The sequence below is a fragment of the Homo sapiens genome, chromosome 7 (genome assembly GCF_000001405.40).
Source record: "Homo sapiens chromosome 7, GRCh38.p14 Primary Assembly".
NCBI lineage: Eukaryota > Metazoa > Chordata > Mammalia > Primates > Hominidae > Homo > Homo sapiens.
This window is the reverse complement of record NC_000007.14, coordinates 130,372,397-130,399,130: the sequence shown is the minus strand read 5'-3', so window position 1 is coordinate 130,399,130 and position 26,734 is coordinate 130,372,397. Positions and strand designations below refer to the sequence as shown.

Below are 26,734 nucleotides of genomic sequence, written 5' to 3'. Positions count from 1 at the left end.
GGCTAGGACTTCATTAGCTTAAAACTGTACTTGGCAGATTGTCCCTGGAATCATTCTTGCAGCTCTGTTCCTTCTTTCTTGCTCCCTTCAGGCCGACTGAACCAAGCTAACTCCTCCGGAAGAGAGTCCAAGGTGCCTGGTGCCCGAAGCGCTCAGAATCTGCCAGGTGGCGGCCCCGCCAGCCACTCAAACCCCCGCTCCCTCAGCAGTGGTCACCTGCAAGGCAAACCCTGGAAGTAAAGACTTTGTCTCACTTAGGCAAATAAATGTTCTTCCTCTTTTCAGAACCCCTGAGCATTTCCCAAGTTGGGTCATTTCCAGAAACTTCTGCAGAGGAAAGACCATGACATATGTATGGGATAGGCCTCTTCCCTGTCCCTGTCTCCAGTTCCTCTCCCCTCAGGAGGCCACCTCAGGAAGGATTTTGACAGGTGACCATAAAAACCAGAGGTGTGACAGGCTCTAGTCTCCTCCCTGTTGTTTACAGCATATTTAAGTCTTGTGAAACTGTATAGGAAAAAAGTATCTACGTTTTTAGTTTTTTTGTTTTGTTTTTTTTTAATAAGGTCCAGCTTGTTGGGTCTCTCTGTGTTGTTTTGTAAATACTTCAGTCACATCTGCCCGTGTGCCTGTCCCTGCCACCTTTTCATTCACTGTTCTTGACTTCATGAAGGCTTCTCCGGGCAGTCTTGGTGTGAGAAGCTGTTTCCAAGGGTGCAGATGAGCCTTAGGTTCCAGCCGCCTGCAGACCCCACCCCAGCAGGCTCACTCAGCAAGGAGCTCTCTGCCCAGCATATTGCAGGCCCTGTTTTGAGTATGGAAGCCAGTGCCTGTGTACTCACTGAAATTGAAGATGAGGAAAGTAGCTGTACACTCACTGAATGCTCCCCCTTACTAGATATTTCCTGGAGCCAGAAAGGTATGCATGTGGGTGTCTTCACACCGGGGAGGAGGGCCTCTCATGGGAAAGCCCTGGCCACCACACCGGCCTGTGCCCCTTGAAGCCCACCAAAGCGGCCCTCACTTGTGGTCAGTATATCAGTTATGACGCCCATTGCCCAGCTTCAGTCCATCCATGTTAGATGGACAGAAATTATGGCCAGTTGAAAATACCAGCTTTGGTTGGACAACTGTGGACACACAAGGTGAAGAGGACTCCGAAGTCCTTTGTCAGGGCTGACAACCTCGTAAGCCCTTGCTTAGAAATACAGTATTAGTCTAATTGAGTAATTAGTGCAATTTCCTGCTTACTTTTCATTCTCATGACTGAACTGTGATTAGGAAGTTGTGATTATAGATTCTGGTTTTGGCCGGAATTTTGAATCAGCATTAATTGAATTGCTAAATGACTGACATTCATTCCATTTAATTGGGGGAACAAAAGGCCTCAGGTAAGGATGAGGAACTCTGAAATCAGATGGAAAAGAGCGGTGTTAATTTTTATGGTCTGTGATCGTAGCTGTGATAAGGGACTGAGGAATAAATTGTGCTCTTTGTCATGGCAACCAGCTTCTGAAAAGCCCACTGAAAATTGCCTGTCCTGCTGGTAACTGCTACGGGGTAAGATTTGCCTTAACAGTACTATTTTCTCGCCACCAAAAAAAAAAAAAAAAAAAAAAAAAAATGCACCACAGTATTTCTAGCATGGGGGCTGTGTTTGTATGAGAAATAAACGTAATAAATATCTCATAGAGACATATGGAAAAATAACTTTCAGATTCAGCCCAGTTCTGTTTTAGAGTGTGTTTATTCTTCTCTACTTGATTTCCAAAGTGCAACATTTTCCGATGCTTTAGAAATCAAACAAACCAGGGACATTGTTCAGATGTCAAGCCATGCCCAATTTTCCACAAGATTCAAGAATCTTGTATAAAATTCAGCCAACGTACACATAGCTTTAATGAGGAGCCTGTCATGTTTCCCCATAAATTTATTGCCTGAGAACTTAGTTCAGCCTTTGCTAATGCCAAAATGCTCTGGCTTTGTATTTTCTTTACAGCATAGATAGAAAAATGCACATTTTTCCACACTCAGCTTTCCCCTAGCATGGACAAGATTTTCAGCCATTTTTGCCACATATACATTTTTAAGGAAAAAAGATTTTTCTCTGTAAGAAAGTTCTGGTTATGCTGTTTTAAAGGTGACTTGTCAGGAGTTGAGACTTCCCTGCCGGATTCTATTTTGAAAGTAAATGGTCTTCCCTCCTTGTTCCGATTCTGCGTTCCCATCGTCAGACAACTTTGGAGTATTAGAAACCACTGTATATATGTGGAAAGCCAGGTCAGCCAGACCTGTTAGAATTGGTGTGCACTCACCTGAGAGATCTGGCAGGTTGGATATATTTATGTGTATTTCTCCACAGTGCTTGCTTTGCCCTGTTGGTAAGGATTTTAAATAACCATGCTCAAAAGAGCTGTTCTAATCTGCGTTTTGCATGTTAAGTGTTAATATCAAACATTCTTTACGTGCTCGAGGTATTGCTTTTAACATTCTACTTTGCCAGTTTCTTCATTAGATTAATTGACATGTATTATTTAAATGACCAGTGATGCTTTGTGCAATTATGAATGTTGAAGATTAAAGTACATAGTTACTAATTTGTCGTTTGCTATTAATATGCTGAAAACTGCCAACTTCTCTCTTCTTTTCTGTCGAGATGATTTGGGGGAGCCACAGGAGACTGGTGTGATTTTTGCTGCATCTCCTAGGAAAGCATTTTTTAAAAAAAATAAATGAATCAGGAAATCAGTCCAATTAGGGCAGGGGGCCTCAGCTCTCCAGTCAGAAAGCCTGGATTTCTTTTCCTGCTCAGGCTGGGACTGAAGCCACCTTCAACAACTGGATCATGGCTTCCTACCAGCGTCTCAGGGGTTGACTAGCTGCCCTTGTCTGGGGCTTGTGAACCCTGAGACAGAAGGTGCTTCATCGATGTACAACTACAGCACCCTGAACAGCAGTGATGGCCAAAGTTTAAATAATACCTTAAATGCTTTAAAGGGGTTTGTGTTTAAGGAAGGGAGAAAAGAAAAAAAGAAAGGAAGGGAGAAAGAAGCAAGGAAATGGGAAGAAGGGAGGGCAGAGAGAAGAAAAGAAGCAGAAAGCGAGAGAGAAAGGAGAAAGCTACATTACTTATTTGAAAACAAAAGGAACACCCTGGGCTGTAATAATGTCAGGCTCAATCTCTTGAAAAAGTATGGAATGATTTAAATGGCCTGCATTCATTTTATCTTTTATCTTTTTTTTTTTTTTTAACCTTTAGTGGTTAGCCAGGACCAGCACGATCATATTGGGCTTGGTATAAATCCGAATGAAAAGAGACCAAATAACATTCATTAGTTGCTCAGGGATTTTTCCTGTGGTGCTATTTAAATTATACAAAAATTCTTAAGACTTTAGGCTACTCGACCAAGAAAACAGAACAAAACAAAAAATCGTGTTTTCTCTAATTCCCTTGTGGAATGTAAGTGAAATCAGAGTCCTAGGCTAGGAAGAAATACGTAGGTAATTTTTCTTGTGTTGGTTTTGGTTTCTGTCATGTTGTTTATTGGCTATAGATTCTGTCTTTTATGTTATCTGACTTTTTTAGAGCGAATAATTAGTTTCTGTCCACCTGGATTTAAATCCATGACCACCTTCTTGCTCTACTCTGAAGATAATCAGTAAGAACCTTTCTTTCTCCAGTTCTAAAACGTTCTCAGTGTCTTTAATGTGTGTTTATTTTCTTCCCAATTCTTTCAAAGATTTAACTCCCACGATACTTTTTTTTCCCCAGGAAACACCGCAAATGTGTGGAATATAATTCACCAGTTTAATTATGTGAGCATGTTGAGTACTTACATGCAGGTCCATTAATTTTTCACTAACAATTATTTTTTCATGCAAAAGCAATAAATAACATTGTGCTTCCAAAATGTTCAGAATACATTTGGGTAGTAATACTTTCCTAGATTTACAATAATTATTGAAATTATTATTATGACATCTTTAAATGGATACACAGGTCAGTTACAACATAAAAAATGTAATGGTGGAAATTTGTCAGCCTTGAATTCAGGCAGAACAGGATTCGGTGCATGATTTTATGTGTTTTCGAAACGGTGTCTGTCACATTGTGATCCCCTGATGGCTCCCCTCTCTGTTGCTGATCCTCTTTGTTCTGTACAGAAGCAAATTCTCACCTGTGTAACATCCTGAAGCACCTGGTAAAATGTGAGGCAAAGAGAGGCCACTTCTCAAATGCTGTGGACGGATGGGCTGCATCTTTTAAAGGATATCAATATGTCTTCCTGTTGCAATTATTTTGACTATAAGCTCCCAGAGAGTGAAAATCACCAACCCTGTGACAGTGGCCCTTAATAAGTGTTCATGAATAAATGAATTGAACCTGTCAAGATTGAAGTTTGGATGTGATGCCCACTGTGGTGGCCACTCAGTGCTAGTCTGTCATTCTGGAGACCCAGAAAGCTCGTTATCTTCTGTCCCCCTTGTGTATCCTGCCTTTGTGGGCGAGGCATTCAAAACCCTGAGGTTTTTAGATCTCCCTCTACAGGAAGTACCCAGAGAGCTGCTGGGGGTGTTATTACCCTGTCTCTGCCAGGCTTAAAGTATCCTCCCAAATTCAGCACGCAAAGGTCACACACCACCCCCATCTTAAGAGTAGGTTTTCTCTTTTGTTTCAAATCTTGAAGATTTCCAGAAAATAATAATACTAGCCAATGTTTGTGGAGAGCTTACTTTGCTCCTAGATTCTTCATTATATGTTTTGACCCATTTAATTTCCACAACAGTCTGATGAGGCAGGCACCCCCATTTTCAGATGAGGAGACTGAGGTTCGGGTAGAAATTAAGTGACTCAGGTTTGCCTTCAGTCTCTGACCAAGGGTTTGAAAAGCCAGGAGCCAGCCTGAGAACTGTGGCTCCAGAGGGTGTTCTTTCAGCCACTCCGCTCTATGCTTCTCACTCTGGGTGGGCACAACCATGTTCTCCTTTGGTGATGCCTCTAACTTACCGTGAAAATGTACCTTTCCCTTCGCTATTGGCTTCCCTTCCCTCCTAGTCAGCCGAGATTCTTTTGAAAACTTTCCTCCGCTTGCCTGCACAAAAGGCGATGGAAATTCAGGAACTGAAACATCTGCTCTGGGGAATGCGTATTTCCACATTTCCACCGCCTGTGTCTGCTGTCTTATCTTGAAGACAGGTGCTCCAGGGCTTCCGAGGTTATTTTGTCTGTTAATGGACACCTTGCAAAGTACCACTTAAGGAATGAGAATTACAAACTTTTAATTATATTGTAGGGGGAAAAAAGTAGGCTGTTTTCCTGATAGGTCTAGCCATTCATTCAGTAAACCATATTGATATGATTTGTGCCTGATCTTTTCTTTCCTTTGTGGTGATGTTTCTGATTTCGGCTGAAACATAAGTTGCATGAATTGGCGATGGCCATAGGCCTGAGTTCCCGGGGGAAGCAGAGGCAAACCTCCTTGCCCCAGTCCTTGTCAGCAGAGCCCTTATTCTACTGCACTCTTCTAAAAATGTAGCCAATACCACTACTGTGGTTAAGCAGAAGACTTTCCATTTTCTCCTTTTAGTTTGGCAATAAACATTTGGCAATCCCAGTCTCTGAGGTTGTTGGATGATGCTCAGTGTTTGAGTTGCCAAATTAATGCAGATCCTGAAAGCTTTGGGGAATAATTCATTACCCTTTGACAGTTTTTTAGATTTGACGATGCATGCTCTGTGCTTTTCTGAGAGCTTCTCCTTGATTTGGCCAATTTGAATGTTACGGTTAGTCATATCAGCTTCATCTGAGTAGCATCTGGGTCTTAGTGTGTTCACAGAATGATGTTGCTGTAGTCCTTAAAGCAAGAGTCCCTGTGCATCTTCAAATCCACCTCATCCCACTCGCCCTTGCAAAACAATTGCCAGGGTGATGAATCGCCCCGCACTGGATGAAGGACCAGTGAGGTCATATCTGGATTGTATTCAATGACATTCCCATTTTAACTTTAGGCCAAAGACAGAAAGCTAGCTGTGCATATCTGAGTGTTAATTCAAGAGGCTACCCTAAGGATTCTCATAGATCACCAATATTGGGCCCACAGGCCATTAGAGAACCATATGTAATGGTCTGAGTAAAAAGTAAAATGAGTTCATTTGAAAATAAAGATTTTCAAAGGCCCTGGGGAATAGGCATTAGCATAATCAATTCCCAAGATAGCTACAAGAACTGAATGTGAGCAGGAAGGGGTTTTGGGAATTTTCATCAAGCTACAACAAGGGGTAGGATGGGGAATGGCCCCCAACTGCATGAGCTGAGTAATCTCTTCCTTTGGTAGAAACACTGCTGCTTCCAGCTGTATCTTGGAGTGTGAATTTTTCTGAAGATAAGACAAACTGCAGCGTTCCGGGCAAGATGATGAAACATTATACCGGAGCAGAAAAAAATGAGTTTAGACAAATCAAAAGAATCTGAGTAAAAACTAAGATGGCCATTTAGCTGTTTGATGTTGATAATACACCGATGTTAGGTAACTTTACACACATGTTATCTACTGTGTTCGAAATAGCTCCCTTCACTCCCTGCCCGTTATAAAAGCTGATTATAGAAGCTCATTGCGAGAAATGCTGAGAAGCATAAAAAGGAAAACTACCACCACCACTACCCAGGTTAATCATTATTATTATTGGGGGATATATCCTTCCAGGAAGAGAAAGAGAAGGAGAGAGAGAAAGCATGTTTGTGTGTGTGTGTGTGTGTGTGTGTGTGTGTGTGTGTGTGTGTGTCTTTTAAACAAGATGGGATCCAGACTCAATATTTTGTATCCAGCTTCTTTTTTAAAACAACTGTATTGTATAAATCACATACCATAAAATTCACCCATTTTAAGTGCACAACTCAATGATTTTGAGTTAAGTTTACAGAATTGTGCAACCATCACCACAATCCAGTTTTATAACATTTCCATCTTATAGCCAGTTTCTTTCACTTAGTATGTTGTGAACATTTTTCCATGTCAACACAGCCCTTAATGGTGTCGTGTTGTTCCAGTGTGTGGATGTGTCAGATCAGCATCAAGACTGGTAATTATCTAGGTTTTTTGTTTTTTACTTTTCCAATCTTGTACATACATATTTTTGAATCCATCCAAATATTTTTATAAAGTAAATTCTTCCATGTGGGTTTTCTGGATCAAAGACACAATACATTTATAATTTTGATTTATATTGCCAAATTTGCCCTCTGGGAAGGTGGTGCCAGTTTCTGCTCCACCAGCACTACATGTTAACACTGGAGTCATCAGTCTTTTTATTCTTTGCCAATCTGATGAGAGAAAAATATCTTCATTTCTCCTTAATGAACAAGAAATCACTTAGAGGATCAGTGTCTTTCATACATGTATTGATTTGTGTTTCTTCTTAGTGGAATTGCCTATTTTTCTTTTGAAATGTTTGTCTTTTTCTTTAACCCTTTTTATTATTTTAACCCCTCAAGGTTATTAATACTTATTTTCATATCAATACTTTCATTTTTAAGTTGCAATATTTTCCAAAATTGTCTTTTAGGTTATTAATACTTATTTTCATATCAATACTTTCATTTTTAAGTTGCAATATTTTCCAAAATTGTCTTTTAGGTTATTAATACTTATTTTCATATCAATACTTTCATTTTTAAGTTGCAATATTTTCCAAAATTGTCTTTTAGCTTTATGTTTTTACTTAAGAATTTTAAGTGTCTTCACCCATAGATTTGTAAAAATGTGTATCTACAAACAAAATGTAAATCTCTTCCCATACTTGAAAGTACAAAAAAAAAAAAAACCAACAACTTTCTTGTCTCCATTTAACAAGCATTTATTATTTTTTAATATATTTCTTTCTTTTTTTTTTTTTTTTTTTTTGAGACAGAGTCTCCCTCTGTCACCCAGGCTGGAGTGCAGTGGCACAATCTTGGCTCACTGCAACCTCCACCTCCTGGTTTCAAGCAATTCTCATGCCTCAGCCTCCCGAGTAGCTGGGATTACAGGCATGCACCACTGCCCAGCTAATTTCTGTATTTTTAGTAGAGATGGGGTTTTGCCGTATTGGCCAGGCTAATCTCAAATTCCTGACTTCAAGCAATCTGCCCACCTCAACCTCCCAAAGTGCTGGGATTACAGGCATGAGCCACCACACCCAGCCTAAAATTGTTTTTTTTATAGAGACTGGGTCTCGCTGTGTTGCCCAGGCTGGTCTTGAAATCCTGAGCTCAAGCAATCCTCCCACCTCAGCCTCCCAGAGTATTGATATTACAGGTATGAGCCACTGCACCTGGCCAAGCATTTATTATTATTGATATTAATACCAATATTATTACTGTGTGCTGTGCACTTGGCCAAGCAGTGGGGGTTAAATGGTGAACAAAACAAAGCAATCCTTGCCCTTGTGCAATTGACATTCATTCATTGACTTCAGCTTTCTTAAGACTTACTCAACTCTGGGAATTCAAAATAACTTGCACAGGGTGTTTTCAGCAAGCCTACAACATACAGATCATAACATTTATGAATTCACTAATAAAAGTAGAGAGCATTCACTCAACAGGTATTTATTAGGCATCTATGTGTCAGGTACTGTTAACGCTATTGGGGATTGAATGCCAAACAAGGTGGTTCCTGCTGTCGGGAAGCACAGTTTATTTTAAATTAAGCAATTCTACCATCAAAGTCTAGTGCTCCAGTTTTATAAAGTGATAAATTGTCATGCTAACTTAATATTTCTTCTCTTATCAGTCTTCATTAAACAAAAGGTGATCAGCTTCCTACTCACTCAAACTAAGCAGTTAAAATGGGTTTTGAGAAGAGAGTTATAATGTCGTTATATAGATTGAAGGGAAGCATTTTCTAAAAGATAACTTGAAGAGGGTGTTATCAAATCTTTTAGGTCATCTTTCTGTAAAGACTGAAACACCATTTTACCTCGTCTCATAAATTTACATGTTTATACGTTTATGTAAATGATATAATGTAATAATGTAACAAATACATACAAAATGTAACAATACATACATAGAGCCTCATCCTTTTTTTTTCTTTTAAGAGACAGGGTCTCACTTTGTTGTCCAGGTTGGAGTGCAGTGGTGCCATCATGGCTCACTGCAACTGCAAACTTCTGGGCTCAACGGTTCTTCCCACCTCAGCCTCTCGATTAGCTGGGATTACAGGTGCATGCCACCACACCCAGCTAATTTTTTATTTTTTGTGGAGGTGGGGGGGGGGGGTCTCGCTATGTTGCCCAGGCTGGTCTCGAACTCCTGGGGTCAAGGAATCCTCCTGCTTCAGCCTCCCAAAATGCTGGGATTACAGGTGTGAGCCACTGTGCCCAGCCCTCATTCTTTTTATTTTTATTTTTAGAATGTTGATAGCAAAAATAATAATAAAATAAAAGTCCAAGATGAAAATTCCATCAATGTTCCTCTTTTTTTTTAAAAAAGGCATTTTTGGCCTTCAGGCCATTTTATATGGAAAAGACTCAAGTCAACAGAGCTGGATGCTTCTTGAAACCTGGCCTGGCTGCTAGAGAGAGAAGCTGCCATCCTCACTCCAGCCCCAATCCACTCACTTCCCCAGCAGAGTCTGTGGGAAAACCCCCTGCTCCACATTCACACCTGAAGTGATATGGAAGAAACAAAGGGAGATTCTTTTTTCTTTCTTTCTTTCTTTTTTTTTTTTTTTTTTTTTTTTTTGAGATGGACAACAAATTTCATGTCTCCATTTCACAAGCATTTATTATTTTTAAATATATTTTAATTTTTTTTTGAGATGGAGTCTCCCTCTGTCACCCAGGCTACACTACAGTGGTGCAATCTCAGCTCACTGCAACCTCCACCTCCTGAATTCAAGGGATTCTCCTGCCTCAGTCTCCTGAGTAGTTGGGATTACAGGCATGCGCCCCCATGACCGGCTAATTTTTTGTATTTTTAGTAGAGATGGGGTTTCACCATGTTGGCCAGGCTGGTCTTGGACTCCTGACTTCATGATCTGCCCACCTCAGCCTCCCAAAGTGCTGGGATTACAGGCGTGAGCCACTGTGGCCAGGCCAAAAGGGAGATTCTTGCTTTGAAACAAGTTGGGATATCTTATGTAGTCATGCTAGCTGCTAATTGTAATATCACTTGCATCAGGATCACCAAGCTGAAGAAGGGAAGCTAAAGCCTAGGAGCTGTGGTCTCAACAGGAGAATGGGAAGGAGTGGGGTGGATGGAAACACGAGGGAGCAGAACCATGTACCAAAGACGCTGGGAAGGATGTGGCAAATGAAAAGTGGGTGATTTCTATCCCTAAAGGCAAAATCTTCAGAATATATAATTAATTTATACAGTTAATAAAATATCTTGGCCAAATGTGATGGCTCACACCTGTAATCCCAGGACTTTGGGAGGCCAAAGCAGGAGGATTGCTTGAGCCCAGGAGTTCAAGACCAGCCTGGGCAATATGGCAAAACCCCATCTCTACCAAAAAAAATTAAAAATTAAAAATGTCTTGGGATTGGCCTTTGGATTGGTTCTTTATCTGCAGTTAATGATTTTATTTAACCCAATTGTTTTCTTCCAATTTGATTCCGGAATGGAAGATGATATTTTGCTCTTTAGTAATCTGTTTTACTTGGCTGCAACATCTATTTTGGACAGCAGTGGCCACCTGGATTATTATATTTCATCTTCTAGGTTGTTGCTTTTATAGATGAATGGACACAGCTAGCTAGACCTTTGTACACGCCGAATTCCACACCACTGTGGGGTGCCGGGCATTTGGTTAGCAGCTGTTGCTGCTGCTTGCTACTAAGGTATGAACAAATCATCCCACTGGTGAGCTGAACTCAGGGTGGTCTAATTAAAACAGACGCCACTTGGATACGACTTCACAGGATGTTGGAATGCAGGGGAATGTAGGGGTCATCTAGTCCAACCACCCACACATTTCCAGTGAGGCCTGCAGGAATTAAATCACTTTTGCCCCAGCTTGAAGAGGCAGACACTCCACATGCAAGCCCCAGGATTCTGTTCCTGGTACACTCAAACTTTATTTGGTTGCCTGGATGGGGCCAGAGAGGAGGACAAGAAGGGTGTCAAAGGGTCAGCTCAGTAGGGGTGATTCAGGGTGTGCTCCATGATGGTCAGAAGCGCCAGCCACGTCTCCTTGGCTGTGGGGATGATCTGGGAGGCTGGCAGCAGGAAGCCATAGCGCCCAGTGTCCCGGAGCTCGAAGGTGAAGGAGTACTTGATGCCCTGGCTGTAGGTCCAGTCAATAGTGCTTCCACTGGCTTGATCTGGGGCAGGAGTAAAATAGGAGAGAAAGGGTCAATCACTTTGGGAATATTTACACGGGTTGGGTTAACGATCCAACCCTGTCCAAAGCTCTGTGCCTTGTGCAATGCTGAGTGGAGTCAGTGTCTACTAAGGTCTGCTGTTGACCAAGCAGCCTCACTTCCAAGAAACTCCCACTAAAAGGTCTAAGCCAAGAGGTCCAAAGAGGAGACCAGCAATGGTTCCCCTATTCACTAGGGGATGCAAGGAAGTCTCTGCAATTGCACAAGCCCCTCTGAAAACAGCCTCTGTCCAACAGCCCTTTCGGTGAAGCCCCTAAATATACCGAGTTCCCTGCTTGGGTAACCAGGATTTGTTCCCCTGGGGCTCTGGTCTGTGAGGGGGAAAGTGCAAAGAGCCAGAGTCAAAGCAAAAGCCCCTTGTCTTTCTTTTAGGAGGAAACTTTGCCCGGGAAACTGTAATTAACAGTGGGTAATGAAGCCACTTTTGAATTGGCCCAGGAGAGAGCAGTAGGCTGCATATCAGAATTTAACTTGACCATGTTGAATGAAGCAAAACCTTGACTCAGAGTTGAATCAGTTTCCAAAGAAGGCCTGGAGTCCAAAAGTGAGGTCAACCTTGGATAAGATTGTGACCTGCTTGCCCACCAAGGCCTAGGCACTCAGGCAGGAAGCGTGTGAGGTGTGTACGCAGCCCTGCCCCCTCAGCCTTCTACCCAGCTTTGACCTTCACTTACTTGGAGGCAGCCACACCAGTCTTGTTGTTCCAGCAACATCCCCGGCCAGACCACACTGTAGAGCCTTTGCTCTAGAATGTTCCTCTGCCTGGAAGGCTCTTCCTAGCTGGATAGCCTCCTGGCTGCCACCTCCTCCACCCACTTCCTTCAATAGTTGCCCAAATGTCACTCTGTCAATGAGGCCCACCCTTCAACCCACCTGCCCCACCTCCACCCCCAGTGTTCCCGATTCACCTCACCTGGTCTAGTTTTAGTTTTCCTCCCCAGCATTCGTCACCTCACATACTGTATCATTTACTTATTTATGTTCATTGTTGGTCTCCCTGGCTAGAAAGTTCCCTGATCTTTGCTTATTTCATTCATGGCTATATCCCAAGTACATGAAACAGGGCCTGGTGTATAGTAGGTGTTCAATAAACATTTGTTGAGTTAATTCCATTTTGATTCAGTAATGCTCCTCTCAGGGGCACTGCATGAATAAGTAAGTGAGGAATAAATCAGGCCTATTGTCTAATTGAGGGGCACTGGAGGAGAAGTGGTTTTTGTTTTTGTTTTTTTGACATGGAGTCTCGCTGTGTCGCCCAGGCTGGAGTACAGTGGCGTGCTCTTGGCTCACTGCAACCTCCACCTCCCGGGTTCAAGCGATTCTTGTGCCTCAGCCTCCCGAGTAGCTGGGACTACAGGCGCACACCACCACACCCAGCTAATTTTTTGTATTTTTAATAAAGACGGGGTTTCACCATGTTAGCCAGGATGGTCTCTATCTCCTGACCTCGTGATCCGCCCACCTCAGCCTCCCAAAGTGCTGGGATTACAAGCATGAGCCACGGTGCCCTGCCCCCGAGAAGTGTTTTTTTAAGTTGAATTTCCTGGTGATCTGCAAATCCCAGCAGGACTCTCCACCCCATCCAACCAAGAAACTAGACTTGGCCCCAACACAAGAGGACAAGAGCTGTCAGAGGAATTCACATTTGTCTGAAAGTATCAAAGGAAGCAGAGTTCATGTCAGGAAAAGGGACTGCCCACCCCTCAGAATAGCCCTTGCCAGCAGTTGACAGATCTGGGTGCCCTTGGCTACTTCCTTCCATGAGGGATACTCCCTCGGTCAGGAAGAGCCAGCAGATGTTCCTCGCAGGCCCATCAAGAGAGACCCTACGGCCACTTACAAATTGCCTTGATGATGCTGCCATAGTTGAACTTGGTCCCGTAGAGAGAGGCCAGGGCTGTCACAGCAGCCTTGGAAAGCTGATCCTGGACAAAACACCAAGCAAAGCCACCTGTCATGGCCAGGCTCCTGGAACAGCATGTCCAGGGTAGTCTGGGGGCTGGCAGGGGAGCCTAGGAGAAGCACCCTGCAGAAGTGGGCCTCCAGCAGGGAGCACAGAGCCTGCTTAGCCTGGAAGCTCAGCCCGGGAGCCTGTCAGCACAGTTTTCTGGCCCTTCAGGGTGTCCGGCTGGCCTTCCCTGCCCTTCAGGCACATGCACCTCCACATGTGGTGCCTAAGATCGAAGTCTAGCCCTGCCCCTTGCTCTGTCACATTACAGAAGTGACTCCATCACTCCTGTGCCTCAGTTTCCCAGAAAAAATGGTTAGTCCACCCGCTGGTCTTCCCAAGCCATCAGGGAAGGAAGGGTGTCAGGTACTCTGGAGGTGTCTGTGCCTTAAGCAGGTCTGATGGGGGAAAGCCTGGGCCTGTCCGAAGCCACCTTGGGGACGAGGGGGCAAGCCGAGGTCAGTGCCTACCAGCTCATCCTGGTCAGGGACTGGTTCTGTTTTGTAGCCATAGGGATACATGAGGAGCTGGGAGTAGCTGTGGATGGAGATGAAGGCCTTGATGTTCCCATGGTCCTTCACAAAGTCTACAATGGACTTGACCTCCACTTCGGAATTGGCAAACTTGCCGTGGTAAGTCTCCGAGCAGGGGTTACTGCTGGCTCCGGACACTGTGGGGGGACAGAGGGCATGGCGGTGTGGCTCCTCCAGCTTCTGTGGCTTCTGGAATCCAGTTCTTTGCATGGAGTTGGGGGTGAGGTGGTATGGAAGGGCTCACTCCCACCCCTGGATTCAGGAAAGCCCAAAGGCCTTCTATAACCTGGGGGAACTGCCCTCCCAGCCTGGTTTGGGCAGAGCTGATGGACACACCCAGGGAGGGAAGACGGGCTCCTCAGTGGAGACCAGTTCTCACAGAGACGTGGCCAAGGCGGGAGGACTTGAGGTTAAGCTAGAAGCCCCCTAGGTAGGATTTCAGACCTTAGCCCATTTGCAAGCAACTTGCCTTTTGCAGGCGAGTAACAACCAACTCTCAGAGCACAGCCTCCATCCCCAAGAGCCCTCAGAGGCAGAGCTGCCACCCCCAACCCTCCCCTCACTGCAGGGGCAGGAGAGAGGCGGGGAGCAAGAGCAGTGGTGAGGAGCCATTCGAGGCCATCCCATCCTTGCTCCCAAGACACTCTGGGCCTTACACCCAAAGCCAGCGTCCCAGTTCCTGTTGGGGTCCACGCCAATACAGAGGGAGCCTGCTGTGTGGGACCGAGTCTTGCGCCACATGCGATTCTGAGGAAGGAAATGGGATCAGCCACCCCGAGGCACGTGTGACGCTTGTCACAGTGCTGGGTGGGGGGTGGTTCAGAGGCTGCAGAGAGCAGAGTGGACTGAGGGGAGGGCTCCCTGGAGGTGGAAGCCCTCAACACAAGTGCCCTGATTGGAAGCTGAGCTGCAGGCACAGCTTGGGATGGGATCCACTCCCAGCTGGTTGTCGGGGAGGAAGATCAGCAGAGGGGGCATCGGGTGAAAGAGAGTGGGGAAGGCCATAGGATGGCATTTGGCCAGAGGGTTCTATATGGCGAAGAAGCTGCGAGGTGTCCTCCACCACCACTGTGGCCCCATGTCATTGGTCAGATGTTTTATTTGCCGTAAAAATAGAAGTAGGACCAGGAAGTAAGGTCTGGGGCAGTGGGCCTCCACTGGGGACAATCTTGACCCTCCCCTGCGATATTTTGCAATATCTGAAGACATTTTGGTTGTCACCACTGGAGAGGGGGGCTCCTACTGGCATTGAATGGGTGTAAGGTTAGGATGCTAGAAACACCGTGGATGCACAGGACAGCCCCCATGACAAAGAATCATTCACCCCAAATGCCAATCACGCCACTGTTGAGACACCCTCGGCTAGGAGCACAGGTCTGATTGCCCCTCCCTTGACTTCTGGGGCTTGAGATTAGGGGTGAACTACTTGTGCAGCTTAGAAGCCAGAGGCCCATCCTGCTTCCCCCAAGGACAGGAGAAGGCCGGTACCGTGCTGTGCGTGAAGGCAAAGCCATCAGGGTTGGTGACGATCTCCAGGAAGATGTCCAAGGTGTCGAGAATGGCGGTGAAAGCTGCATCCTGCCCGTAGTCTTGAGTGATCTGGGGGGTTAGAGGAGCAGAGGGGCAGCGCAGGCTGGGCCAGGCATCTGCCAAGCCACAGCAATGGACACCTTTCCCCATGTCCTCTGTGGTCACTGCTTCTGGATGGGCAAAGGGAGGCCCGGGCTTCTGTGGGCCTTGGACACCAATGCCCCACCAGGTGAGAGCCCTCCTCACCTCCCCGGCCTTACCTTCTTTGCAAACCAGACCCCACTGGCCTGGGTGACCCACTCCCGGGAATGGATGCCCGTGTCGATCCAGATGGCTGGACGCTTACTGCCCCCCGTGCTGAACTGGAGAGGAGGCAGGGGAGTGATCAGAGGCAATTTCACAGCTGAGGCCTCATCTTGCTGCCCTGAAGGAGACCCCGACCTGGGCCAGAGACCACCTGCTCTCTGTGTATCTCAGGTAGAGGCTCTGCTTGTGGGGCCATCACTCAGGTGGGTTTGGGGCTGGGGGCTGGACAGGGATCCCACAGAGCTTGGCCTCCTGCCCTCAGCCCAAGCTTGGGGTGAATATGACTTGACCAGGCCCCTGGCCCTTCCCCTGTTCTGCTGCTCGGACAGTTCTCTGGGGGACATCACAAACAAAACACTTTATCTGGGTTGGGCGTGGTGGCTCACGCCTGTAATCCCAGCACTTTGGGAGGCTGAGGCGGGTAGATCACTTGAGCCCAGGAGTTTGAGACCAGCCAAGGCAACATGGCAAAACCCTGTCTCTACTAAAAATATAAAAATTATTGGCCAGGCGCAGTGGCTCATGCCTGCAATCCCAGCACTTTGGGAGTCCGAGGCAGGCAGATCACAAGGTCAGGAGATCGAGACCATCCTGGCTAATACGGTGAAACCCTGTCTCTGCTAAAAATACAAAAAATTAGCCGGGCGTGGTGGCAGGCGCCTGTAATCCCAGCTACTTGGGAGGCTGAGGCAGGGGAATCGCTTGAACCCAGGAGGTGGAGGTTCAGTGAGCCGAGATGACGCTACTGCGCCACTGTACTCCAGCCTGGGTGACAGAGTAAGACTCTGTCTCAAAAAAAAAAAAAAAAAAAAAAAATTACCCGGGCATGGTGGCACGTGCTTGTAGTCTCAGCTACTCGGGAGGCTGAGGCAGGAGAATCGCTTGAACCCAGGAGATGGAGGTTGCAGTAAGCCGAGATCATGCCACTGCACTCCAGCCTGGGTGACAGAGCGAGACTCTGTCTCAAGAAAATACTTTATCTGGACTACCCAGACTCTACAGTACCTTCCACAATGGACACTTGATTGGAAACACTGGATCACCTGTCTTTGTGTATGGGCAGGAGTGCACACGCCAAGACCAGGGTGGAGACTCAGGCCTTTCCAAATGTCTGCATGGGGAGTCCATTTAACAGCGTGTTCCCTGGTACCATGATTTCCCCGGGAGAGCCCACGCCCATCACGGATGCCACGTGTGGGTCCATTCTCCCCTGTGTATGTCCACATGTGGATGTTACCTTCAGCACGTAAATGGGACGCCCTTCATAGGTGTTGCCAATCTGGATCTTGCTGACAAGGTGCGGGTTCTCCGCCACCAGCAGGTCCAGGAAGTCATAGATCTGAGGTGTGAAAGAAGAGACCACTGGCCTTAATAGCTTCTGGGCACCCAGATGCTTCCCTTAGCAGCCCCACCGTCCCAGCCTGCTGCGAGCCCTGCAATGGAGCTACGACCACACAGGCCACATGGAAACAGAGCAGGCGCTGCGCACACCCAGGCTGGCCCTGGCCTTGGCCCTACCGCGTTCTACCAGCCATGATGAAGAGCTGGTGGCTGCAGGGAGCGGCCGCTAGGGGCGCCCTCACCTCCTCCAGGGTGTGGTAGGTGGCGTAGTTAAAAGTGTCGGTGGAGCGCGCCCGGGACCGGAAGGCGAACATCTGCTCCTGCTCCTCGTCCAGCAGCGACTGCACGTCCTCGATCATGGTCTCATAGCTGATGCCGTGGGACTCCAGAAAGATCTTGACCGCCTGGATGCTGGGGAAGGGCACTCGGACGTCGATGGGGGAGCCAGGGTGGGCAGGCCCCCGCCAGAAGTCCAGCTGGGGAGGACAAGAGCCGGCACGGTCACAGCGGGCTGGGGGCACCAGCCAGGACAGCAGGCAGGGACAGGGCCTGCGTGGGAGGGGCTGTTGGTGCCAGAAGTTCTCATATAATTGGGGATAGGTCAGGGGTAATAGGGCCAGAGAAATACGGGGAAACCCTGGGGACTGGAGAGTCCAGTGTGGTCAGGGAAATGGCCCAGGAGCAGAGTGAGGGGCCTTTGAGACAGCAAGGCAGAGGGAGGAACTGGAAAGGGGCCCGGCCCCTTGCCCAGGTGCTCAAGGGCAGCAAGGCTCTGGAGCTGGGGGCTTGAAGTCGCTTCCTAACAGAGTCAATTCCATGTCTCCTTGTTGGGTGGAGACAGCCCAGGCACAGTTGGCCGCTGGGGACCTGGGGTGGCCCCAGCTGATACCCTGGGGCCTCAGAGAGCCCTTCTCCCCTCTTCTGACCTGCAGGTGCTCCAGGTCCTCCAGCTCCTTCACCTTCTGTACCTGGGCCTCATCGGCTACAGAGATTCGGAGCACCTGATGCCTGGGCAGAGTGGGAGTGGGGAGTGAGCACCCAAGCTGCACCTGCCCTGGCCACAAGCACTCCCCAGGTGCAGGAGGGAGGCAGCAGCCCAGAATCCCCAGACTGGGCCTCGTCCTCTGGGCTGGGCAGGGGACAGCACCAAGGGTCTCAACAAGGAGAGGCCTGGGCTCCCTCACCTCTTCTCTCCCCATCTTTAGAAACTTCTAGACGCTGTTACTATCTCAATCCCAGTTTGGACTATTTCTCTGTTCCAAGCCAGCCAGGCCTCCTCCTTTCTCCTCTCCTGAAAACTCCTCCTCAGAGCTCAGGTTTCTCCAGGGCTCAGGAGACTGTCTTGGGAGACACAACCTCTTCCCAACCCTGGTTGCTTATCTGCCAGCTGTCCCAGGTGGTGCCAGGCCATCCTCTCTGGCTGTGTTGCCATGTATCTGTCTGTCTGTCTCCTCTACTGGTTGGGGGCTGAGTCCTCCCCATCACCCTCAGAGGGCACCCCCTCCTCTCCACATCCCTACCCCACAAAGTCCTCCTTGCCAAAGACAGCCCCCAACAGGACACTCAACACCAGCAACCCCCGCATGCTGCTGCCGGGAGGGAAGGTCAGACTGAGGTCGAGACGGCCCCCTGGCTTTTAAACCCTCCCAGGACCGAGGACTCCTGGCTGCTCCCGAGGTCTGTTCTCCCCCAGCACCTGGGTCCTGTCCCACGGGGAGGCTGGGGTGGGAGTTCTGAGCTCTGACACCCTCTCACCCTCCATGATAAAGTGGCAGGGAACTGGGCAGCTGGAGAGATAAGCCAGAGCTCCACCCCCGACCATCTGGGGCCAGCGGGGCCTGAGGGTCAGCGGGGGCTCGAGGCCTCCTGGAGTCCCAGCCAGGACTCTGCCTGCCCACACCCTAAAGCTGCGGTTCTGTTTGCCCACTGGGTAGCGGAGAAGGAGCCAGGACTCCAAGCAGCCACTCCTGCTGGGGCCTCATTCCAGGCGTCTCCTTGTTCCGTGCTCCTGAGTGCCAGCCTTTCATTCCGGTGATCGAGCAAGTGGGGCTTCTGCCCTCTCTTGTCCCCAAGGCAGCTTCAGGCAGGCCCAGGCTCTCCCCCATTAGACCTGTGTGAAGCACAGATACCTGCGGAGTGCCGGACACCTCCTCCTCCCACGGACCCTGATGCCTTGGAGAGACCAGCAGGGTGGACTAACCTTTTGCGTCGGTTTGGCCTGTCACCACACCGGCTTTGTCCAGGCTGCCCCGGCCCTGTGCGGGGCAGTCCCTCTGTGGGACTTCCCAGCCCCCTCCTGCTGGCCTTAGGGTCCTGTGGGAGTCCAGCCCGGGCAGCAGCAGCAGGGTCAGGAGCCCAACCCTTGCCAGCATTTCCCTCCACCCCCACCAGTACAGGGCCCCGAGGTCGGGGTTGCCCTTCATGGGAACAGTAACCAGATGTCGTCTGAATAGCAAGTGTGGCGGGGGGAGCCAGGGCCAGACCCCTGTGAGGACTGCACAGTGTCCAGGAGAAACTGGAACCCACACAGGGGAATTCACTGGGTTCTGGATGCTGATCTCACCCTAGAGACAAATCCATCACAAATCCCACAAATCCATCCTCATTCACGGGCCCCCCAGGGCTTTCCCAGCACCATCTAGAGGCTCTGCTCTGTGTCAGGACCCCGACCTTGGGCACTGGTGAGAGCCATAGTGCCCGTTCTAGTTTCTATTCACTCCCACTGCCTCCTACCCTACCCCCTAGCTGGCCAACCCTCCCACACCAAGACAGAGTGACCCCCTTATATTTATCCACAACTATCTCCCAAACCTAACTCTAGGAAGGTGAGAAAGCCCTAAACCCGCTTTTAACAGATGTGGAGCCTATGCGGCAGCTCCTGCTCTCCCCTGTACAGCCTTGCTGGCCCCACCCGCCTCTGGCAGGGCTGCAGTGCTCCCTGGAGCTTCTTCTGGCTGCTTCCTGGCTCACCTGTCTGCTCCTTCTCTAAATGCTCACCCCTTTGTCGATGTATTCAATCAATACTTATTCTTCTGGGCCAAGTACTGTGCTCCACATGGACACGACACCCAATACAGATGTTCGCTGACCTCAGGGAGCTCACGGTCTAGGCGGGAAGACAGAAGTAACCAACTAACTTGTTGGTCCTCTAACAGGTCCTCCAAGAAGCTGTCACCAATAAGGGATTAGACGTGCAAAGGACTTTTGGGGACTGTTCTCCTCCCTGCAAGAGACCTAAACAGGGATGTGATGTGGTATGAAAAGTACCATGAGGGCTAAAAGGACACACACTATGGCACAAAGTCCAGGGAAGACTTTACCAAGAAGGTGACATTTGACCTAGGCCTTTTTTTTTTTTTTAAGACAAGTTCTTGCTCTGTCACCCAGGCTGTGGAGAGCAGTGGCACCATCATGGCTCACTGTAGGCTCAACCTCCTGGGCTTAAGCGGTCCTCCCACCTCAGCCTCCCGAGTAGCTGAGACTATAGGTGTGCACCACCACACTTGGCTAATTTTAAAATTTTTATTGTAGAGATGGAGTCTCACTATGTTGCTCAGGCTGGTCTTGAACTCCTGGGCTCATGCAACCCTCCCACCTTGGCCTCCCAAAGTGTTGGTTGGGATTATAGGCTTGAGCCCAGCTTAACTTAGGTCTTATGATAGGATTTTGCCAGGTGGGGAAGGGTGTTCATCACGCTATTTAGTGCTTGAACACAAACTTACATTGATTTCTTCTTCGTTGCTCCTAAAATGTTATTTTTGTCTCTCCATGGAGACTGTAAACTTCCTTAGCTGGGCGTGGTGGCGCCTGTAGTCCCAGCTACTTGGGAGGCTGGGACGGGAGGATCTCTTGAGCCTGGGAGTCCAAGGCTGCAGTTAGCCATGATTGCCCCAGGCTGGGCAACAGAGTGAGATCCCATCTCTCTAAAAAGTTAAAAAGGAAATTAAAACATTAAAAAAAAATTAAATTACCCCAGGCCAGGAGCCATGTCTTCCCTACTCCTCATTTCCTGGTGCCCCACAGAGTCCTCGGGCTTCTCTACCCTGCTCCCCATGGGGAAGGAAGGTTTTGTAGGGTCTTTATTTAGTTTGCATTATAAAAACAATATTTCTTTTTCTATTCCTAAATATGAAGCTGTCCTATAATTTTGAATCTCTTTTGCTCACACTACACATGTTGGGGGATGTTGGCTGGTTCTTGGGCCTTCTGTGAATTCCTTCCAGAAAAGACGACACCTCTGAAAAAGAGGGCGGCCTGGGGGAGAGGGTGCAGACTCACCAAGGGAGCCTCTTGTACCTCCAGCCAGCAATTTACGATGCCCAAGAGTCATATAATATATTTTTTTGCAAGGCTGGAAAGGATGAATTCGATGCTACAAGTTCAGCAGAAAGTGGGCAGCATCATGGCAGAGGAATTTGGGTCTCAGGTGCGGGCTAAGCCTCATGCTTCGGGCCCCTCCCGGCCACCTCAGGAAGCCAAAAATGTACCTCTTGGTAAAGGCCAATTTGCTGGAATGTAACCTAGGTCAGAGGGCCTTCCCACTCCATGTGATGGTTTCACATTGGTCCAAGCAAGGCAAGGGCAAACATGGAGGCCACTGGGCCGAGGGCTGGGTAAGTATAGCACCAGGACCTATCACCATGAGAAAGAAGCCACCAGGCTGGGATCTAGATTCAAGAATGAGTCACGGGCAAGTGCCAGAACGCAAACAGTGGGAGGCCTGCAGCAGCCACGCTGACTGTGGCCCACAGCATCCCTCCCTGTTTCTTCCCTGCTAAATAAACCAGATTGTATGTCGGCATCCGCCCCCAGAAACACTGCCATTGCCAGCTCAGGGACAAATTCTGACTGGTCTAAGACAATTGAAGAGATCTCATTGGCTTTTGCAAGTCACTGGTTTAAAGGTGGGCACATGACCCAGCTTTACCAATCAGACATGAGAGGAGGCCCGTGAGGAAGCTTCTAGAAAAGGTTGCCCCACTCCCCAAAAGAGGGCACCTTTTTCTGGATACTGTCAGGTCTGTTGCCTCACCTTCAGACTATATATGTATATATATATGTTTATGTATATGTTTAGGTCTATATATATATATAGGTCATATATATATGAAAGAATATACATTTCTTTTTTGTTAGTTGGAGTTTCTGTTGTTGAAAAAAGCATTCTAATTGATGCACCTATTAAGCTTTTAAAGTGTTTGTATTTTCAGAAAAGGGGACCAATTCTAGCCTATCAGAGCCTTTATGTAAAATGCAGAAAGGCACCTGTTTTGGTCCATGTTCACACTGCTGATAAAGATATACCTGAGACTGGGCAATTTACAAATGAAAGAGGTTTAATTAGACTTACAGTTCCACATGGCTGCAGAAGCCTCACAATCATGGCAGAAGGCAAGGAGGAGCAAGTCACATCTTACATGGATGGCAGCAGGCAAAGAGAGAGAGCTTGTGCAGGGAAACTCCCCTTTTTAAAAACCGTCAGATCTCATGAGACTTATTCACTATCACAAGAACAGCACAGGAAAGACCTGCCTCCATGATTCAATTACCTCCCACTGGGTCTATCCCATAACATGCAGGAATTCAAGATGAGATTTGGGTGGGGACACAGCCAGCCCATATCAGCACCCCTCCTTGTCTGGGCAGGTATAGTCCCTTTCTCTCTCAGCAGGATGACTTTGAGCAGTGCACAAACTGGACAACTATCCATGACAGGCCTGCTTCCAGAATATCCCCAAACATGGTAGACAGAGGCTCTAAGGCAATGCTCAGAAACCCCCAAAATGAAACTTAGAAAATGGATTGTCAAAGAAGCAAAAGGAGAACTGGTCCCCAGTATCCACGTTAGGGATCAATAGGGGACAGTGGAGAAAGATCCCTGTAGAGAACATGATGGGTGCTGTCAGAAGGGCCAGATGCAATAGCTAGATGAGACTTCAGCTGCCTCCCTTTGGCAGGTGTGTTCAGGGTTGGACATGACATGGTTGTGCACATGGAAGGGAAGTCTGAGAAACTGCAGCAGCCGAGTCAGGGACTGCAGTGTATACCTCTCATTACCCTGCCTGGTAGCCTCTTCCATCTGATAACAGGACCTCCATTTTCCCCTAGAGACCACTCCTTGCCCACTCTGAGGCCACATGATTCAGGTGGACTTAGACATCCCAGCCCAACCCCAGTTCTCTGGATGGGCCAATGAATTAATTTCTTCTTTTCCTCAATTCAAGTTGGTTTTCTGTTACATGTGACTGGGGACAGTGCACAGGTGATAAAAAGACATTCTCTAATTTCAGAAGAGAGCAAAATAAAACAGGAATACTTTCTAAGTGGTTTGCCGCAAACTCGTTATAGGACTTTGGGCAGGTCACTTCACATCCCTGGGCCTTGGTTTCCTCATCTATTAAATGGGGGAGTTGGTCAGAATAATCTCTGCGGTCCCTTCCAGTGGTGACACTTTACGATGCTAGGATATTTGGGTTTTCTTTTTTTCTTTTTTTTCTTTTTTTGAGATGGGGTCTTACTCTGTTGCCCAGGCTGCAGTGCAGTGGGGTGATCATAGCTCATTGCTGCCTGGAATTCTTAAGTTCAAGGGATCCTCCTGCCTCAGACTCCCAGGTAGCTGAGACTACAGGTGCATGCCACCACACCCTGCTAATTTTTTAAGTTTTTTTTTTGTTGTTGTTGTTGTTTTTTTTACAGATGAGGTCTCACCATGTTACCCAGGCTGGTCTCAAACTCCTGGGCCCAAGCAATCCTCCCACCTCAGCCTCCCAAGATGCTGGGATTACAGTCATGATCCACTGCACCTGACACACTTAAATTTTTTACCCCAAAACAAATCAAGCCATGGTGACAGGTCTGGGAAGGGTGGAAAGAAGATGCCATGTTTGCAGGGAGGTAAGGATTGAGCCAGGGAGGGCCTGGGGCTTGCAATGGGTATGCATGTCCAGTGCAGTTTGGGTTGAGAGGGGCTGCATCCTGCTGAGGCTGTGTTAGTGGGAGGTCACCAGGGCTTGGGGGCATTGTGGGAGGCTGAGAGGATGAGGTCCAGTCAGTGGCCTCCTTAAGTTTTGCTTTTATAACTGAGTGTCCAGCAGAGCCTATTGGTGTGTTTGCTTTGAAGCTACAGGGCTGTCAAAACTTTAAAGTGGCTAGTGGTATTTTTTCTCTAGAAGTAGAGGCCGAATTTTTCTCTGATAGAAGGGTCCCCTGAAGAGAGAAGCCCCCCAGTGTCCAGGGTCTTTAGGGAATGTTGAGAACAGAGCCCCAGTCTCAGAATGGAGATCTGCCACTAGGAGGAACTGGGCAGGGGTGCACCTCGGGTACTGGGAAAGATGGCGGGAGCCTGAGAGGCTTCAGGAGCACCTGGAGGGCGTCCGCACTGTGGGAGGGGGTATGGGCCACCCCAGCAGCGTGGGAGCCAGCTGAGGGTCAAGGAGAGTGAAGGCCTATTGGGGTGACCCATGGTGGGACATGAACCACCAGCTCCAACACCAGAGACATCCAGCGTCCAGCTTCCATGTTTTATTTTCTATATTGTATGTTCCTTCCATATCCCAAGTAAAGTTGTGGGAACTGTTACCCCATGGTCTAGCCATGCTTTGGGGAATTGAGAGAGGTGGGCTGACAGGGCAGGAAGGTGGAGGGAGAGCCGCAGAGCTTGGCAGAGCTGGTTAGAAGAGAGCAAGAGGTGAACTGCAGGCCCCAGAGCAAGAGCCTGGTAAGGGACGACCAGAGGGAATGGATTCCCACTCTAAGGACATCCTAGAAGCTCAGGGAAGAAGAACCTCAGTCAACCAAGCAGGCTGGAGTTCTCCTTCAGGGGCCCCCTCCACAGAAGGACATTTTTTGCCCCCCGAGTTTGAGATGTGGGGCAGGCCTGTCCCACGCCGGCAGGCCATGCTGGAGGACAGGGCAGGAGAAGTCTGCTACAGAAGGGGTATCAGCAGAACCCAGGGCTGCAGCCCAGGAAGTGGACCTGCTGCCTGGGAACATTCCACAGAGCACAGCCGGCCCGTGTCCCAACATGCCTGGGACCGGGTCTGGGAGCCGCAGCAGCCAGGCCTGGCTCTGGAACGTCAACAAAGTGACAGCAATAAATAATGGGCGGCGGGGTGGGGGCGGCGTCCGGAAGGACAAATCCAGGCAGCCTGTTTGGCCTCCAAGGTTCTCCTACCCCACGTACTTGGGATAGTCCTTGGAAATGATAACACGTTTCCCAAATCCGGTCTGGCTTGCCCGTCCTAGCCTCTGGCCCTGGGGCCCCGCAGGCCTTCCCCTGCCTGCTGTTGACTCTGTGCTGGTGTGGTTCCCACCACGTCTGGGAAGTTCCGACAGGCCCCATGTTCGCTGCATTCTCTCCCAGCCTGTGCTGACCGGCTGCCTGGGCCTTCTTGTTTTCCTAAAGGGGCATTTTTACATTAAATTAAATGTTCTCAGTAAAGTCGTTTTCTGTCTGGGCCTGTTTCTCGCTGGAGTGGTCAGAGGGGCCATGGAGGAGGATCGGGGTGTGAAGGGCCCCTCACTGCACTCCCTGGATCCCTGCCAGGGCCCAGCCCCCACGGCCTCCCGGCCAGCCTGGCCTCACACAGGCCCCTCACATTCCAAACTGCCTGCCTGGTTTGTTTTTTTAAGAAAGCAATAACCGCAGCACATTCGCTGTGGTTCTTTATAGCTTTCCATATGTAGAATTGCTCTTTCTCTCTTCAGTTTTTCCAATGCTTTTTTTCTTTTAAATAAATGCTCATAAATTTTGCTGGTGTAAAGGATGAAAAAACATACCTAAAAAGAGCAGTTTGTTGGAAAAAGAAAAAAAAAAAAACCACCAGCAAGCAGTATGTTGAAAAACGGAGCTGCTGTTTAGCATTATATACTTCAGAAAATGGGGGAAAAAACGTTCAGGGTTTATAAAAAGGAGGTTCTTCTGTAGCAGCTCTACAACTTGCGTGTCTAAGTCTTGAGCTTTTATTTGATAAACTTAAACCCCCGCCATTATCTCTCTGGGCTTGCTGAGGAGACCCAGAGGGGTGAACCCTCAATCTATATGGAAGGAAGCTGTGGTGGGGCTGGGACTAGAGCACCCCCCTGGCCTTAGTCTTCTCCCAGCTGTTAAATTCACGTGGGGCCTCGTGCAAATCTTGTGATCCAGAGGCCCCTGTCTTCATAACTGCAAAAATGAGCGGGTTGGGCTAAAACATCTGGATAATTATATGGCTTTAGGATTAGGTCCTTGATAAACTAGAGCAAGAAATGGGTTCTGAGGCCTCTTCAGATCCTCCCTGCCCCTCAGAGAAGCTGCTGCAGACTCTGCTGGCTCCTTCCAAATATCCGTTCTTCCCTTCCTCCTTGCCCACAGAACTCCAATTTTCATTGGGGCAGCAATACGCCCAGCTATAGAGCTATTTCCCAGCTTACCTTACAGCTAGGCATGGCCGCATGACACAGTTTCAACAAATATAGTGTAAGGCGAAGTCTCTGGACCCGCCACCTCAGCTGGCTCACTTGTTTGCCCCTTGCTCTTCCTGCCTGGAATTTCGTCACAAGGGAGGTAGAGCAGCCATCTTGAAAGTAGAGGTCAAAATAGAGCAGAATGGTGAAGCAGAAGAGATCACAAGGGTCTGGGTCCCCAGTATACCCAGGAGTCACTGTCCAGCCCTGGACTGCCCACCTCAGATGACTACTTGCTATATGACAGAAATAAAACCCCTATCTG

The 26,734-nt window shown here is 48.2% G+C and overlaps 3 protein-coding genes across 12 annotated transcripts in view, besides 2 other annotated features; 1 reads left to right on the top strand and 2 right to left on the bottom strand.

Moving 5' to 3' along the window:
• CEP41 (centrosomal protein 41) overlaps window positions 1-5,360 on the top strand; it is a 47,971-nt gene extending 42,611 nt beyond the window's left edge. For all 9 annotated transcript variants that reach the window (NR_046443.2, XM_047421055.1, XM_047421053.1 and 6 more), the window contains one exon: window positions 92-5,360. Coding sequence is in view for 8 of the 9 variants with exons in the window: in XM_047421055.1 (XP_047277011.1) it covers window positions 92-240 (149 nt within the window). In the remaining variant the exon portion in view is untranslated. The remainder of the gene's footprint in view (window positions 1-91) is intronic.
• Window positions 4,390-4,449: an enhancer, noted in NCBI's record as "active region_26655". NCBI's record gives its function as "activates an Ori minimal core promoter by ATAC-STARR-seq in GM12878 lymphoblastoid cells {active_cell/tissue: GM12878}" and the evidence as "EXISTENCE:reporter gene assay evidence [ECO:0000049][PMID:35858748]".
• Window positions 11,023-18,637, bottom strand: CPA1 (carboxypeptidase A1). The gene is made up of 10 exons (NM_001868.4): window positions 18,546-18,637; window positions 17,952-18,033; window positions 17,268-17,501; window positions 16,922-17,023; window positions 15,639-15,740; window positions 15,337-15,447; window positions 14,505-14,595; window positions 13,786-13,985; window positions 13,208-13,292; window positions 11,023-11,307 (listed from the first exon to the last, which is right to left on the bottom strand). The coding sequence occupies exons 1-10, from the start codon at window positions 18,608-18,610 to the stop codon at window positions 11,120-11,122; spliced, it is 1,260 nt and encodes a 419-aa protein (NP_001859.1). The 5' UTR covers window positions 18,611-18,637; the 3' UTR covers window positions 11,023-11,119.
• Window positions 18,509-19,030: an enhancer, noted in NCBI's record as "H3K4me1 hESC enhancer chr7:130019942-130020463 (GRCh37/hg19 assembly coordinates)". NCBI's record gives its function as "activates a minimal SCP1, AML or CMV promoter by ChIP-STARR-seq in primed H9 embryonic stem cells {active_cell/tissue: H9 hESC(primed)}" and the evidence as "EXISTENCE:reporter gene assay evidence [ECO:0000049][PMID:30033119]".
• Window positions 24,532-26,734, bottom strand: part of CPA5 (carboxypeptidase A5) — a 29,784-nt gene continuing 27,581 nt past the window's right edge. For both annotated transcript variants that reach the window (XR_007060171.1, XR_007060172.1), the window contains 2 exons: window positions 26,437-26,582; window positions 24,532-25,423 (listed from right to left, as the gene is read on the bottom strand). The gene's annotated coding sequence lies outside the window, so the exon portion shown is untranslated. The remainder of the gene's footprint in view (window positions 25,424-26,436; window positions 26,583-26,734) is intronic.